The 14,954-nt window shown below is 58.3% G+C and overlaps 2 protein-coding genes and 1 non-coding gene across 5 annotated transcripts, besides 5 other annotated features; 1 reads left to right on the top strand and 2 right to left on the bottom strand.

Annotated features, from left to right (window-relative positions):
* Positions 1-2,348: 2,348 nt before the first annotated feature.
* ELMO3 (engulfment and cell motility 3) lies at positions 2,349-7,222 on the bottom strand. 3 transcript variants are annotated; one of them, NM_024712.5, is made up of 20 exons: positions 6,949-7,222; positions 6,760-6,800; positions 6,597-6,669; positions 6,352-6,402; positions 5,992-6,161; positions 5,803-5,902; positions 5,545-5,696; positions 5,385-5,463; positions 4,918-4,968; positions 4,711-4,833; positions 4,480-4,611; positions 4,275-4,376; positions 4,069-4,177; positions 3,820-3,956; positions 3,563-3,726; positions 3,349-3,461; positions 3,130-3,234; positions 2,944-3,026; positions 2,770-2,856; positions 2,349-2,688 (listed from the first exon to the last, which is right to left on the bottom strand). In NM_024712.5, the coding sequence occupies exons 1-20, from the start codon at positions 7,024-7,026 to the stop codon at positions 2,476-2,478; spliced, it is 2,163 nt and encodes a 720-aa protein (NP_078988.3). In that variant the 5' UTR covers positions 7,027-7,222; the 3' UTR covers positions 2,349-2,475. The 3 variants fall into 3 exon arrangements, 2 of the variants coding, with proteins under 2 accessions (NP_078988.3, XP_024306215.1); XR_007064916.1 differs by lacking the exons at positions 2,349-2,688; positions 3,349-3,461; positions 3,563-3,726; XM_024450447.2 differs by lacking the exons at positions 5,803-5,902; positions 6,352-6,402; positions 6,597-6,669; positions 6,760-6,800; positions 6,949-7,222 and having other exon boundaries at positions 5,992-6,056.
* MIR328 (microRNA 328) lies at positions 3,958-4,032 on the top strand. Its single transcript, NR_029887.1, has one exon. It is a non-coding gene; the product is annotated as a microRNA 328 (primary transcript).
* Positions 7,223-7,434: 212 nt separating the features above from the next.
* On the bottom strand, positions 7,435-14,198 carry E2F4 (E2F transcription factor 4). The gene is made up of 10 exons (NM_001950.4): positions 13,991-14,198; positions 13,483-13,592; positions 13,183-13,344; positions 12,838-12,881; positions 11,894-11,955; positions 11,373-11,667; positions 10,347-10,571; positions 8,707-8,754; positions 8,442-8,486; positions 7,435-8,345 (listed from the first exon to the last, which is right to left on the bottom strand). Exons 1-10 carry the CDS (start codon positions 14,123-14,125, stop codon positions 8,230-8,232), a joined length of 1,242 nt encoding a protein of 413 aa, NP_001941.2. The 5' UTR covers positions 14,126-14,198; the 3' UTR covers positions 7,435-8,229.
* Positions 7,827-7,886: a silencer, noted in NCBI's record as "silent region_7593". NCBI's record gives its function as "represses an Ori minimal core promoter by ATAC-STARR-seq in GM12878 lymphoblastoid cells {active_cell/tissue: GM12878}" and the evidence as "EXISTENCE:reporter gene assay evidence [ECO:0000049][PMID:35858748]".
* Positions 13,047-13,156: an enhancer, noted in NCBI's record as "active region_10958". NCBI's record gives its function as "activates an Ori minimal core promoter by ATAC-STARR-seq in GM12878 lymphoblastoid cells {active_cell/tissue: GM12878}" and the evidence as "EXISTENCE:reporter gene assay evidence [ECO:0000049][PMID:35858748]".
* Positions 13,545-14,475: an enhancer, noted in NCBI's record as "H3K27ac-H3K4me1 hESC enhancer chr16:67225781-67226711 (GRCh37/hg19 assembly coordinates)". NCBI's record gives its function as "activates a minimal SCP1, AML or CMV promoter by ChIP-STARR-seq in naive and primed H9 embryonic stem cells {active_cell/tissue: H9 hESC(naive and primed)}" and the evidence as "EXISTENCE:reporter gene assay evidence [ECO:0000049][PMID:30033119]".
* Positions 13,957-14,146: a silencer, noted in NCBI's record as "silent region_7592". NCBI's record gives its function as "represses an Ori minimal core promoter by ATAC-STARR-seq in GM12878 lymphoblastoid cells {active_cell/tissue: GM12878}" and the evidence as "EXISTENCE:reporter gene assay evidence [ECO:0000049][PMID:35858748]".
* Positions 14,237-14,376: an enhancer, noted in NCBI's record as "active region_10957". NCBI's record gives its function as "activates an Ori minimal core promoter by ATAC-STARR-seq in GM12878 lymphoblastoid cells {active_cell/tissue: GM12878}" and the evidence as "EXISTENCE:reporter gene assay evidence [ECO:0000049][PMID:35858748]".

The following is a 14,954-nucleotide window of genomic DNA, read 5'->3' as shown; positions in this document are numbered from 1 at the left end:
GCATCGAGAACCCTGCAAGCCACAGGTGCTCAGGTGGAAGGGCTAAACCACGGTATGTCTGAGACTCACCTGGCTCAACTCAGGCTCAGCCATGGAAACTGTGGCCATTAACCCATGGACATGGATAGGGTGACATCAAATATATGGGATGTTTGTGTGTGTGTATGATCAGATTTATGTCGGAGAAAGCAGTTGGGGTAGCTGGTATTGAGAGGATTGGAAGTGCAAGACAGGAGGCCAGAAGTCAGGAGGCTTTTGCTATGATGGTGGCATGCACAAGGGACTGGAGACATTAAGAAGGAATAATTGACAGTTACAGGGAGGCCGACAGCATCAGGGGTCCCTGCCCCCCATTTCCACCTATAACTCAATGGCCGACTGCTCCATTTGTGGTGGGAAGTCCTTAGGCATGGGCATAGTGGGCCCTGGATGCCCAAAGATCTGCAGCTTAGCTGGGGGAGGGGGAGTAAGTGCCCTCCAGCACTGAGGGCTGAGCACTGAGGGATGAAACTGAGTTTCATCAGTTCTCAAGGTCAGCCAGGTTGATGGTTAACAGTTAAAAACAGTATTGGGGCCAGGCACGGTGGCTCACGCCTGTAATCGCAGCATTTTGGGAGGCCGAGGTGGGCAGATCACCTGAGGTTGGGAGTTCGAGACCAGCCTGACTAACATGGAGAAACCCCTTCTCTACAAAAAATACAAAATTAGCCGGGCGTGGTGGCGCATGCCTGTAATCCCAGCTACTCAGGAGGCTAAGGCAGGAGAATCACTTGAACCCGGGAGGCAGAGGGTATGGTGAGCCAAGATGGTGCCATTGCACTCCAGCCTGAGCAACAAGAGCAAAACTTCATCTCAAAAAAACAAACAAAAAACAAAACAAACAAAAAAGTATTGGAGACAGGTGCGGTGGCTCATGCCTGTAATCCCAGCACTTTGGGAGGCCGAGGTGGGTGGATCACTTGAGGTCAGGAGTTAGAGACCAGCCTGACTAACATGGTGAAACCCTGTCTCTACTAAATACAAAAAATTTAGCCAGGCATGGTGGCGCATGCCTGTAATCCCAGCTACTTGGGAGGCTAAGGCAGGAGAATTGCTTGAACCTGGGAGGCAGAGGTTGCAGTGAGCCAAGATCACACCATTGCACTCCAGCCTGGGCAATAAGAGTGAAACTCCATCTCAAAAAAAAAAAAGAAGAAAAAGAAAAAGAAAAAAAAGATATTGGAGGTAGCACTGGTGAGAGAAGAGGTGAATGGCAGGGGGAAGTCTGAGGGGCAGTGGCTTCAGCCTATCCTGTGAGCTCCACAGACTTATAGGCTCTTCTTTCCTCACGGGCTTGGGGTCTGTGATCACAGCCTCTGCCCCTGTGACCAAACCTCCAGCTGGGCCCAATACTCCTCGATGCTTCTGCCCCCAGGGGCTCTGGCCTGTCTATGGCCCCCACCCTACCCATGGTTCTGAGTTAGATTTTTAATTTGTTTTTTGAGATGGAGTCTCATTCTGTCGCTCAGGCTGGAGTGCAGTGGTGCAATCTCAGCTCGGTGCAACCTCCGCCTCCCGGGTTCAAGCGATTCTCCTGCCTCAGCCTCCCGAATAGCTGGGATTACAGGTGTGCTCGACCACACCCAGCTAATTGTTATATTTTTAGTAGAGACGGGGTTTCACCATATTGCCCAGGCTGGTCTTGAACTCCTGACCTCAGGTGATCGGACTGCCTCAGCCTCCCACAGTGCTGGGATTACAGGCGTGAGCCAAGCCCGGCCCTGAGTTAGGTTTTAATCAGAAACCGGGTCTTCCTGCACAGAAGTGGCTCTTGTTGGAATCAGCCCACATCCTCCTACCAGCCTGGGGATCCTGACCCTGCCCTTCTGCCTCTCTCCCTTCATGCCTCTCACCAGAGAACTCCAAGTCCTACAAAGGACACCAGGCAGGGCCATGCAAGCTTGAGGACTGAGGTCAGATTGTCAGGAGCCTTCTGGAGATGGCTCCCAGACTACGCCCCTGTTAACGCTGTCCAGGAAGGCATCCATTTGGGGCAGTGCCTCCTACCCTGCCAGTTCTCCTGCAGCAGGCCGGCAGCTCAGCCTCTCCCTTGGCAGGTGCCCCCAGACCACAGGCCAACCCTCCCTGCAGGCCCAGCATGGAGGGAGGCTGAGGACTCACCTTGGAGAAAGGCTGCAGTCCCAGCCTCTCCCCACCCCCTTCAGAACACCAGCCCCTCAACCGTAGCTGTCAAAGTTTGTGGCCTGGCCTGATGCCCCATCTTATCCACCAGCTAAGTTTGAAGGCAGAAGGGGAAGACTGTCACTGTCACAGGCTCAGCCCGCAAGGTACAGAGCTGGCTCAACATATCCCAAGAGCCAAGCAGACTTTATTTCTGCAGCAATCTCTGCTGGTCAGGGTGCCTGCACTCCTCTACCCACTGCCCTTCATGGCTGCTGCAGTGGCCGCAGCTGTGGCCCATGGCCAGCCACACTGTCAAGGTTCAGCGATGCTGCAGTCATAGCAGAAGTTGAAGTTGGTGGGGGGTGGGGGCACAGGGGGTGGCCGCTCGGGGATGGGCACGTTCTCCAGCTCCAGCAGACGCAGCTTGGTCTCCATGGTCAGCAGCTGCTCCAGGTCCAGCCGTGTCTGCTCGCTGCCCATGGGACTGCCCAGCAAGGCACTGAGCCCATCTGTCCACAGGTAGAACTGGGGGTGGCACAGAGCCGTGAGGGTCTGCCCATCTGCCTCCCCTGCCCACCTGCCGACCTCAGCCTGGCGGACACTCACCTCCCGCTTGGAGGGGGCAATGAAGTTGAGGTACGCTTCCTCCTCCCCACGGTCATAGCTGATTGAGAAGGCCAACTCATAGAGGTCCTGGGGAAGCAAGGGAGCGGGGACACTGAGCAGGGGACAGGGTAGGCGGGGGCGGGTGGGAAGGAGCCCCTGGCCCGCTGTACTCACCTTGTTCTGCTTCCCGGAGCCCTTCTCCCGGACATGGGGGCAGTCCTTGCCTGTCAGGAGTGCCCTCATGTCGGCCACAGGGACTGCAGGAAGAAGGCTGGGCTGAGCACTGCAGCCCTGGCAGCCCCGGGGCCCAGGGCGGTCTGGGGAGAGCAGGTATCTGGCCCCCGCCCCTGCCCGCCTTACGTTGCTCGGGCAGACTCTCCAGGGTAGGCGGGCTGGCGCCCTCCTCCATGTCTCCGTACTGCAGCAGCTTGTGGTTGGGGGACAGGCAGCAGAACCACAGCTTATCTGCGTGGAGAAAGGGAAGAGGGCCAGAGTGCTGAGAGGTCCTGACACCAAGCCAGCCGCCCTCTGCCTGCCCTCTGCCTGCCCTCTGCCCCCTGCCCATGCCCATTCAGAGACCCTGGCGCCGCCGGCTGCTGATCTTGCGGAAGAGCGTCCCCTCACAGAGGCGGAGCAAGCGCTGCTGGCGGATCAGGCCCATGAGCTCTGGCTTCAGCTTCTCCCGCAGCTCCCTGATAGAGGGGTGTCACTGAGCACATCTGACCTGGGGAGTAGCCCAGGGGGCACCAAGGAAGGTAGGGCTAGGACTGAGGATCCATCCCCCCAGACTCACAGTATAGGGGGAGCCAGTGTGCCCTCCTGGTGCAGCCGTTCAGTCTGCCGCAGCCGCAGCACCTCCCCATAAGTGAGCGCATTCACCTTGGTTCGGAAGAGCTCCAGGGAAGTGGGCTTCAGGGCCAGAGTGCGGGCCAGCTGCTCCCGCACCACCTGCATGACCTGGGGCCGCCCAAGCTCAGCTCAGGGCCTAAGCTCTGTACCCAGATCAGCCCCCTGCCCTGGCCCAGGCCTCCCAGCTCCCACCCCACCCACCTTGTCGAAGTCCTCCTGTGTAGCCCGCATCTCCTTCCAGGTCTTATTCAACAGCTGGATGCCCACACAGAAGAGCTCGTGGAAGCTCTGGTCTTGGCCGAAGAACATGGGTGAGAAGTCCTGGGCTGTCTCAGAGCCTGGAGTGGGGGGGCAGGAGGGGCTCAGGGAGAAAGTGCATACAGCCCCTGGCCCTCTCTGCCCTTCCGTCCCCTGCTCTTGGCCATGCTGTGCCCAGTCCAGGCCACTCACAGGGCTCCCCAACACGGAGCAGCTCACACAGCAGCACCGTCAGCTGGATGCTGCCCCGGGCAAAGGGGCACTCGTGCTTGTCCTCGCGGCTGCTGTTCTCCAACACAAACTGGGGGCGCAGAGAATGGGGCAAGGAGTCACAGCTAAGCCCATGGGGACCCTGCCTGGGGGATGCTGCCACCCCCCCACCCTACCCTGTCACCGACCCGGCTGTACGCGCTGGGCGCGTTTCTGGAGAAGTACAACATGTTGTCCAGGGCCAGCAGACCGGGGGGCACGCGCTCCAGGTCCTGTGCTGGGTTGCTGTTCTGGGGGAAGTGGGCACAGGCAGTTCAAGAAGGGCCACGGCCGCCTGGAACAACAGCCCTGGGCTGAGGCAGGGGTGGGGAGTTGGGTAGGGGTGATACTCACAGAAAAGCCCAGTTTGCGGAACTCTCGGGCACAGAGGGAACGGCGACGGTCAGCACTTAGCCCGGCACCCGAGGACTCCCCCTCCACCTCGAAGGCAGCCTGGCGTAGGACCTGCAGCTGCTCCCGCTGCTCCTGGGGTCAGTGTTGGGTGGCGGGGGAGGGGATCAAGATTATAGATTCAAGGCCAAGCTCTAAGCCACCCCCTGCCTTGTCCTCACCAAAGACACACACCTGGCTGTAGGGGTCCAGGGGCGTCCGCATGCGCGGCTCCAGCAGCCCCAGCATGAGAGCCTGCAGTACGTACAGGTGATGAGCCATCTCGTCGCCCATTGGTGCTGCACTGTGGATGATGTTCTGCAGGACAGCCAGTCCCTGGTGTAAGCGAGGGCTCACGGGGAGGGAGGGGCAGAGAGGTCCCCCTGGCCCACCACTTCCTACCTTATAGATGAACTGGCGAAGGTTCCTCTGCCAAAGATAGTCAAGCATGTGCTGAGGGGGTAGAAAGAAAGGGGGCTTAGGCTGGGCGCGGTGGCTCACGCCTGTAATCCCAGCACTTTGGGAGGCCAAGGCGGGCGGATCACGAGGTCAGGAGATGGAGGCCAACCTGGCTAACACAGTGAAACCCCGTCTCTACTTAAAAAAAAAAAAAAAAAAAAAAAAATCAGCTGGGCGTGGTGGCGGGAGCCTGTAGTCCCAGCTACTCGGGAGGCTGAGGCAGGAGAATGGTGTGAACCCGGGAGGCAGAGCTTGCAGTGAGCCAAGATCGCACCACTGCACTCCAGCCTGGGCGACAGAGCAAGACTCCATCTCAAAAAAAAAAAAAAGGGGGGCTTAGAGGATTTTGCTTCAGGGTGGGGCAGCGCCCACCGGGTGCTGCCCCCATCTAGCCACCGATCGACACTCACCTTGCGTTCCACAGGGCTGGCCCCCTGCAGCAAGGCTGTCAGCAGGGCCATGGCCTTGGTTTGCAGCTGCTGGTTCATCCTATGGCAAGAAGAGGGCTCAGTGGAACATTCAGGCTCCAGCCCTGCTCCCTGCATCTGGACCCCAGCCCCAGAGGCTTACACCTGTAGGTGCACCAGCAGCCTATCCAGGGGCACCTCGCTCTTGACCAGCTGGCCCAGGGCTGGGCTGCTCAAGGTCACACTCTCCAGCAGCCCAAGGGCCAGGGGAGGCACGGAGGCATCCATGAGGTTCATGTTCACGTAGCACACCACCTGTAAGGGGCGGGGGTGTCACCACCTCACCCCCATGGAAGACCGGGTCTACCACTGCCCCACTGCTCCACTGCCCCCACCCGCTGCCCTAGGAAAGCCCACCCACCTTCCTCACAAAGGGGATGCTCAGAGTCTCCCAGGACACCACGCCGTGCTCCATGAGCTCTGAGAAGGCCCTCAGGCTGAGGGCCAGCACCTCTCCTAGGCTGGAGGGGGGACATCTGGGGCTGAGCAGGACCACCCCAGGACCAGAAAGACCCACCATCTCCCCCAGCCCACACATCCCTGTGCTCACTCGTCCCCATCTTCAATGATGGTGCCTAGTATCTGGAGCCCATTACGGCTGATGACCTCCCTGGCAAAGATCATGTCCGAGGCCAGCGGAACAAGGCGCCTCAGGGCTTCCCGGCGCCCTTCAGGACTGTTACTCTGCAGCCCACCCAAGAGCTGCTCAGCCTCAAGGTCCTGGCAGGAACGGAGCAGGAGCAGAGGTGAAGAGGCTGGGCATGGTAAGGGTGGGACCTGGAAGTGTGCGGCCCCGGGCGTCAACTAGGTGGCGCAAGGCAGGGCTGGGGCGGGGGCCTCCGGGGCGGGGGGCCTCTGGACCTGGAGCAAAGGGGCAGGGATGGGGAAGGCGGGACGGGAGGGGCATTACTGGGGCCGTGCTGAGGCACAGGATGCTGCCATTCTTGATCTCCGCGCGGTTCTGGAGAAGACAGCAGAAAAGGCAGCGAGGTCAGGGAGGGCTCCGAGGACTGATCAACTGGGGTGTCGGTGAGGGCGGCTGGGGGTGAATAACAGATCGCGCTCCGGTAGTGGGATGAAGAGCCAGAGTTATCGGGGCCAGGTGGGTTAGAGGGGTCGGAAGGCCGAGCTTGGGGCTGGGGAGAGGGGACTCACATTCTCGGTGATGTATCTCCGGTGCCCATCCGCAAACTGCAGGGCGTAACGCTCAGAGTGCGTCAGGCTCCACCTGAGGGGCACGAGGCTCAGCGAGGCCGGCAGGGGGCGCCGCCCCTCCTGCCCTCCCGCCCTCCGCAGGCCCTGGCCCGGCAGCACTCACGCGTCGCACACCTCCTTCAGCACAGCGGCCAGGGGCTTCGCCTGCAAGTGGAGTGGTCATTCTCGCGGCCTGGGCAGGGAGGGATGGGGAGGAGCCTGGGGGGAGGGGTGGGGCGGGCTGCCCCGAGGGCCAGGGGGCTACCGGGAGGTGGGGCAGTGGGGCAGATGGAGGCGGGACCAGCCGGGTGACCTGGTCCAGCTGGATGAGCTGCGGGATGGCGTCACGCATCTTGATGGCAATCTTCACCACGTTCCGCGGAGGCGCCATGGTCCAGCTGGGACGTGGGCGCCTGCACTTTCCGGAGACCGTGCACCTGCGGCCAAGGGTGCACCTGGCCTGGGGCCCCTGGGGACGAGGAGGTCCTCCCTTTCCGAGACCTGACCTCGGTGTCCCGCACTCGCGGCCCAGACTGCTGCTCCTGGCCATGCAACGCGGCCTTCCCAAGGGAGCCGAGGTTAGTTCCGGGTTGGAGTCTGGGGGTAGGAAGGTAGGACGGCTCCGCCTGCCCCGCCCCGCCGAGGCGGCCCCGCCCCACACCAAGGTGCGGCAGGTGGGGGCGGGGAGGGCAGGCTGCCGGAGGCCGCCCCACCCCTAGTTCCAGCAAGGTGACCCACCCAATCACACTGCCAGTCCAGCACAGTCCCAAGGAGGGTCCCCAAAGAACCACATCAGAGCTAGCCTTAGGCATGGTTTTTATTCACTTGAACACTGTACAAATATTACAATTTCCTTTTGCTGCAAAAAGTATAAAAATAATCTTTATATAGGAATCCATTCGTTACTGTAAATCTTTCTAAATCTCTGCAAATGGCTCTAAATGAGGGTAAATGAAAAAGCCGAAATGAAGAGAGGGTTATGGGGCAGCAGGAGGTGGGGCCAATCATCAGGGCTGGACCACCCAGACTCCTCCCCAGAGACCTCTGTTCCTTCTTGGTAGCCGCCCCCACCACCTGCAGGTTCTAGGGCTAAAGGCCCAGCAGAAGTGGGCACGTGAGAGGGCCAGGAGGAGCTGGAGGGTCAGGGGGTGGGGGATAGCGAAGGAAGCTAGAAGTGGTGCTGGCATGTGCCCAGTTCCACCCCACCCTTCCCTCCTAGGGGAAGGAGCTGGCAGAAGCAAGACACTGAGGCTGGCAGGAACAAGACACTGCCCCCTATGGGGGGTAATGGCAGCTCCTCGGTTCTGTGCCACTGGGTGGCAGCCGAGCCTGGGCTGGCGAAGGCCGCAGAAAGGGAGAAGCAAACACTTTGGCTCCACGGTGATGGGGGCTGAGTCCTGTTCCCCTGCTCTGCGAGCACAGAAGTGCCAGCACAGGAGCGGGAGCTGTGGCCAGAACTGTGCGGTGAGGGGAGGCCGGAGAAGCCAGGCGTCTGTGGCTCTCAAGCTCTGTAGGGGTCGGGTGGGAGAGGTCCCCAGGCAACCCCCAGGTCAGACAGTCTGGGTCCCAGCCACACAGGGCATGTCCCTGTCAGTCAGAGGTTGAGAACAGGCACATCAAAGAGGTCACAGACACCTTCACTCTCGTCCAGGTTGTAGATATAATCGTGGTCTCCCGGGGGTGGAGAAAGACGAAGCAGAGGGGCAAACACTGCAGAGAGCACTAGTCTCAGGCCCTGGGCCAGGGCTCCCCTAGCAGCAGCCCAACCCCTGCCCACACCCACTCCCACCTTCCAGGGCCACCCACCTTCTGAGGACATCAACTCCTCCAGCAGCTCCGAGCTCATGCACTCTGGGAATGGAGGGAGCTCAGTTACTAACATTCCAGCTCCCACCTCTCCACCCACCAAAGCCCAGGAAAGGGAACCCCACCTGCCCATCAGGAACTTCACCCTTTGCCCCAGTTACCATAAGCGCCACAACAAGGTCCTCAAAAGGGCAAGAAAACAGCCATAGGACCCAATGAGCTGTGTCCCTTACCCCTAGCCTCAGGGAGGAATGCAGCAGCCTACCTCGTGTGGGATCAAAGATTTCTGACAGCTCTTTGGGGAGTTCCAAAACTGAAAAACAAGAAAGCCATGCTCAGGGCACAGAGGTCCAGCCTGGCCCCACTACAGCCCCCTGGCTTCCTCGGATCCTATACCACCCACCCTGAGGCTCCACACAGCTAAGGAGATGTAGGTCCTGCCTAGGCCAAGCTGGCACTGTCTGTTGGCCTCACTTGCTAAACCTGAATTCCTCAGTGCTGAGCCCAGGGTACCAAAGGCCCCCTGCAAGCGATTGGTACAGCTTTTCTAACTCGGAAAGGCCACAGAAGCCTCTTTCTGGGCTCAGCATGCACCCCCTGTCTGACAGAAGGTACCCCATCTGTCCCACCCTTGCTGAGCACCTGCTCTGTGCAAGACTGAGACCAGACCCTGGGTCAGGTCACCAGGCAGAGGTGGTGGCGCTACAGGGTGATGACTCCACTACAAACCTCTGGCCAGGAGGACACAGGGGAAGCAGAAGAAAATGCAACCAGAGAGGACTATGAGGGATTTCACATGCCAGGCTCAGGAGTTCAGATCTTATCTGGTGGCCCTCAAGGAGCCATTAAAGGTACTTTTGCAAACAGAGAAATGCCACATTTTTCTGTCAGGCCTGCATTTCAGAAAGATTAGTCTGTCAGTCAGGGTAAAGAGAAAGATGCTGAAGAATCCAGGACAGAGGTGGCCAGGGGTCATCCTGAGTGCTGAGGATACCAGAGGATAGGAGGGGACATCTGGGACAGACCTCAGTTAGCTGGCATGGGGTGGGCAGCAGAAGGAGGAGGGATAAGGAACTAGAACTAGAGTGAGAGCCAAGGGTCAGGCCTGGATAACTAGGGCTGACGGCTGGGTGCGCAGAGGTGGAAAGCAAGCTTCGGGAGGAAACTAAGTTCAGTTGAGGACATGCAGGAATAAAGTGTCCATTGGATGTACACAGGACGGCAGGTGGACACCGAAGTGTGCAGATTGGGAAAAGATCTAGGCCAGGCGGAGGCTGGGGATTCGTTCACCCAGAGCTGCAGCCCTCTCCAGGAGTGGAATGGGACAGAGCCCTCAAAAACAGCAATGTTTAAGGACACGCCAGGGAAGAGTTCAAGAAGCCAGTGAGATAGGAGAGCCAAAAGCTGGCATCATGATGCCAAAGGAGGAAAGAATATTGACACAGACCAAGAGAGCACCAGCAAAACACGCTGGAGGCTGCTGGGCTCGGCAGGCCTTCGGCAGCTTCTCAAGAGTAACACCGCTGTAACACTGGGGCTGGGGGGGTGACTGCTGCAACCTGAAAGGTGACTAGGAGACTAATGAATGGAGATTACTTTTTCAAGGAGTCCAGACAGAAAGGAGACAGAGAAGATGAGAGAGAGTGATACAGAGAAGTGTCAATTAGTGAGGCGGTGCTCCAAGGGGTGGCAGGAAAGGGCTTGAGAGACGGCAGGGAGTTCTGTGTTAGCCTAGGATGGGGTGCTAGAGGGGGCACCAGCACTGACCCAGAGGTGCTGGCAGAGAGCTCTCGTGTCCAGCAGGGTTGACAGGAGATCTGGGTTCCATCCCCAATTCTGTTTTCTGACCTAGGACTGGACTGAGGCTAGACTCTCTCTCTCTGCCCCCAGGGGGCAGGTACTCACCACCTGTGGGGTCTGCCTTGATGGGCTCAAAGGAGGTAGAAGGGTTGGGTCCGGACGAACTGCTGCTGTTACTGTTGCTGCTGCTGCTGCTGCTGCTGCTGCTGCTGCTGCTGCTGTCCAGCAGGGCAGAAGACTGCAGTGGCCGGGTGTCCAGTGTTGTTGGGCCCAGTGGGAGTGAACTGAGCTCACCACTGTCCTTGCTATCAGTCCCAGGGCCGCCACTCACTACAATGATAGCCCCCAAACCCAGTCATACAAGGTCAGGAAGAGGTCGTTGAAACTGGCTGTGCTGGAACCCAGACACAGGAGGACCACAAGCCTGGTTCCCAGACCCAAGGAGAATTAGGCATTGCCAGTCACCCCCAGAGGAAGTAACCTGAAATTAGTCACCACAGGAGACAGGGACACAAGACCTACAGAAGAAGACTCGTGGTCAACATGTCTGCTGTGGCCATACTTCAAGACGGGCTACCAGGGCAATTGAGACACCAGTGGATGTGGATCTGGGGGAGAAAACTGCCACCAGCAATGGCTCTTCCCACAGTCAGAGGTTCCCTGTTAAAAAGGGCCCATTCAGGCAGGCATGGTGGTTCAAGCCTGTAATCCCAGCACTACAGGAGGCCGAGGCAGGCAGATCATTTGAGGTCAGGAGTTCGAAACCAGCCTGGCCAACATGGTGAAACCCCATCTCTATTAGAAGTACGAGAATTAGCTGCGCATGGTGGGCGCCTGTAATCCCAGCTACTCAGGAGGCTAAGGCAGGAAAATTTCTTGAGCTTGGGAGGCAGAGGTTGCAGTGAGCCAAGATCGCGCCATTGCACACTCCAGCCTGGGGGACACAGTGAGACTCCGTCTCAAAAACAAAAACAAAAAAGGCTCATTCATTACCATAGCAAGGGAAGGCTAGGTGGTCAGGAAAAGGACAATCCCCAACCTGAAGAGTCTCTTCCAACTCTGAGCATGGTGTTCCACAACACAGAGATACTACCTCTTGGGCCTCTGTCACAAGCTCCCATGGTGCCTCACCTGTGATCTCAGCTGCTGGGCCAGCCATTCCCTGGACTTCTGCACTGCCAGGGACAGCAGTGGGAGTGAGCTGAGGACTATTTGGACGTGAGGCTTCCTGGGACTGGGCTAGGGCAGGCTTGGGCAGAGGTGGAGGTGTAGAAACAGCAGATGGGCTCTGGAGCAAATCTTCAGGTGGTGGCACAGGCACAGCCACAGGGGGTGAGCTCCATGCCTCCTTGTTCACCAGCAGAACCTCAATGGGACCACTCACACTCTTCAGGTGAATCTGGTACTTCTTCTGCCCATTGAGACCCTAGAGATGGGTGGTAAGGGATGGGAGATGGGTAGAATTGTAAGCAGGCTTGGCTCCTGCCCGACTCCGGGTCAGGACCACAGTGTCCTCTCCCACCCAGGATGCCCATCCTCCTAGATAACCCCAAACTCCAGGCCTCCCCCTACTTGCCCCACCCAGGACTTATCAGGCTCCACAGCCAGCACCCGCCCTCAGCTGACCCCGCCTGCCTGGGCTAAGCACCCACCTCTGGGATGGGCACCTCCAGGCTGGTGCCTGATGGGGCCCGGATGGCCAAGAGGGTATCTCCTAGAATGACATGGAGAATGGGTCAGAGCCCATGGGCTCAATCTGAGCTGGGAACAGAGGTGCCTGCCTTTTGGAGCAAGGCAGGAGATCACGGTCCCTGAGGAACTAGACAGTGGGCCTCACCCATCCCCCATAGTGGCCAGGCAGAGCTAAAGCTCTTCTCTTCCTGAGAGCCCAGGGTCAGTAACCAGGAAATCTGGGTTCAATTATGTGGAGTGAAAGATCACTGGCCACAGGCACCTCATTCCTCTACCGATGGCTGATCCCTAGGTGAGGGTGTTCTAGCCAAGGCCAACATCCCTTTCCCATGACCAGTCAGGAGCATACAAGATGGAGAAGAAACACATCAGCGGGGCACAGTGGCTCACACCCATAATCCCAGCACTTTAGGGGGTTGAGGAGGGAAGACAGCTTGAGCTCAGGAGTTCAAGACCAGCCTGGGCAACACAGCAAGAGCCCATCTCTTAAAAAGAAAAAAAAAGGAACAGATCCTGTATTCACAATGCAACTAAACTAACAAGTTGGAAGTGGGCACCCCCATGCCCTGCATGTAAGAGCCTGCACACAAGCAAATACACACATATCCTCTCTCCCTCTCTCCCCCTTGTGCCTCTATCATACCCAAGAAGCCAAATCCAGGAAACAGTAGAGATGGGAACAGACCCAGGGACCCACTCCAGAATTTCTGTACCCTTTTGGTATAGCTGACCTCCACAGGGTCCCAGTGACACTCAGACAGAAGACTTACCCTGCCTGGTTCCTCTCTGAGCAGGCCCCAGAAACCCTCTTAAGAGACAGAACTCTCCTAAGACACTGAGCCCAGTGCTCAGGACTTTGGCTGAGCCCAGCCCACCCCCTTACCCCTACCCAGGCTCTGCTCACCAGCAAAGCATCTGCAGATGTCCTCATGAGTGACGTAGGCCAAAGTGTGAGGGTTAAGGAGAATGGCTGATGCCCTATGGTGACAGATGGCAGACTACAGAAAAGACCCAATTCTTTAGCTAAGGTCTGACACACAGGCCCTCAGAGACCGTTCTGGGGACTCAGGTCCACCGGGGGAGGGATCACAGGCTAAGAGTGGAAGGGGAGGGGCTCTGAGGAGGGAGCCTGAGGCTGGGCCATGGCCAGTGGCTATAAGACAAACTCCCAAGAGGAACAGGACTCAGGGCAAGTTGAACCAGAGGGCCCCTTGCCCACTCCCCCCAGCAGGGACCGCCAGGAGGATATCAGCTGTTCTGCACGTCCTCTGTGACGTTCCGGATGCTCTGCTGCACCCACACCTTGTGCTGGTCTAGTTCTTGCTCCCGCTGCTGCAGCTCCTCGATCTCTGCCTTGAGCTCAATCAGTTTGTCAGCAATCTCCCGGGTATTGCAGCCAGGCCCCACACCCCTGAGCCCAGGGAGTGGGGCTGAGAGGGACTGCTGAGAACTCTGGGTCCCATGGCCCCTGCCTTCTTCGGCACCCTCCACCCCACGCCCGACACTTCTGGGTGGGAGACTCTACTACCCTCCCACTATGCCCACTCACTTCCACTGGATGCTGTTCTTGGACTTTTTCTCGATTAGCCCGATACCTTCCAAAACATTGGTAATGTCGTAAATCCGCCGCTTCTGGCGTACAGCTAGGGTGTCAGCTGCCTGGCAGAGAGAATGGAGAATGCTCAGCCCCACTCTGGGGTGTACCCCCAGCCACCCTGAGACGTGGTCTGGGAAGGGAGTAATCTGGATTCCAACCCTGTAGTGCCTCCCAGGCGCTACTGCAGCTCAGGACCGCAGCTCTGTCCCATAGGCAGCTCTTCTCCTCGCCAGCCAGGAAGGGCCACGAGGACGAACACCTGCAGCCCGAGCCTGGCCCATAGCTGTAGCTCGATGGCCTCGGCCGAATGAATGAAACATCCCCCGGCTTCTCTCCTGTGAGAAAGCACACGATGGCGGCCGGCTCTCGGAGGACCCAGCTGGGCCGCCCCCGGGGTTCCCGCTACCGGCCCAGGCCTGGTCCACCAGCCTCCCTTGTCTCCCCTTAGCCCAGGCCGCACCAGCTTGAGGTCAAGCACGCCGTCCTTGGCCTCCTGCAGAAGGGACACGAACTTGGTGGTGAGCAGTCCCAGGCTCTTTTCGTGCCGGCTTGGAGTGCCCGGGGGCGGCGGCGCCTGTGGCCCGGCCTCCGCCATCGCGCCCGCCCGCCGCCTCCCCTCAGCCAGGCCAGGCCAGGCCGGCGCCGCCGCCACTTCCGCTTCCGTTCCTGGCCGCCGGGCAGCCGGAGCCAGCGTTACTGCTTCCGCTTCCGTCCCGTGCGCCTTCCAGGGAACGTGGCGCTATTGCTGTCTGTGGGTGCAGCCGCAAAACTTCAGGGACCAGTAGCAAATGTCCAGCCTCCGAATAAGACGAAAACTACCTGGGTAGACCGGGGAGTTGGGATGAAGTTGGGGAGGAATGAGAAGGGCGTCAGTGGGCCGCCCTGGCAGTAGAGAAGGGGACGCCATCGGAACTTTCCTTGCCAATCTGCCCCAACATCACTAACTCTGCCTAGTCCCCATCTTGGGAGAGGAGACCACACTACCTGACTAATCCAATCTGCTCCCTCAAACCTGTTCCTTTTCCATTTTTTTCTCTTTATTTATTCTTTTATATATTTCAAACTCATTTTACTGCCACATCAAACCTGTTCCTAAAGGCTGCCCTACTGTCTTGGGGTCACCCCATCTATTCCTATCCCTCACTTCCTGCCAAACAGCAAGCACTAACTATATCTACCTTGTCCACCTTGTTCCACCCATGGTCCTAGCCTCATCTTTCGCTCGTCTTGTCCTCACAGTACAGTGCTCAGAGACTATGGGGTTATGAACACTTCAGCCAATGCAAACGTGTTTACCTATGTGTAAATATCAGTAAAGCACTCAGTCATTCCTGGCATGCAGGAATGTGTGATACGGTCATTTTGTAACTTTTAACATTGTTACTATTTATTATTGTTTCTTTTAGATCAGGTCCTCTGGGAAA

This window comes from Homo sapiens, chromosome 16 (assembly GCF_000001405.40).
Source record: "Homo sapiens chromosome 16, GRCh38.p14 Primary Assembly".
Taxonomy (NCBI): domain Eukaryota; kingdom Metazoa; phylum Chordata; class Mammalia; order Primates; family Hominidae; genus Homo; species Homo sapiens.
Note: the sequence above shows the minus strand (reverse complement) of the source record. Positions and strands in the feature narration are given on the sequence as shown.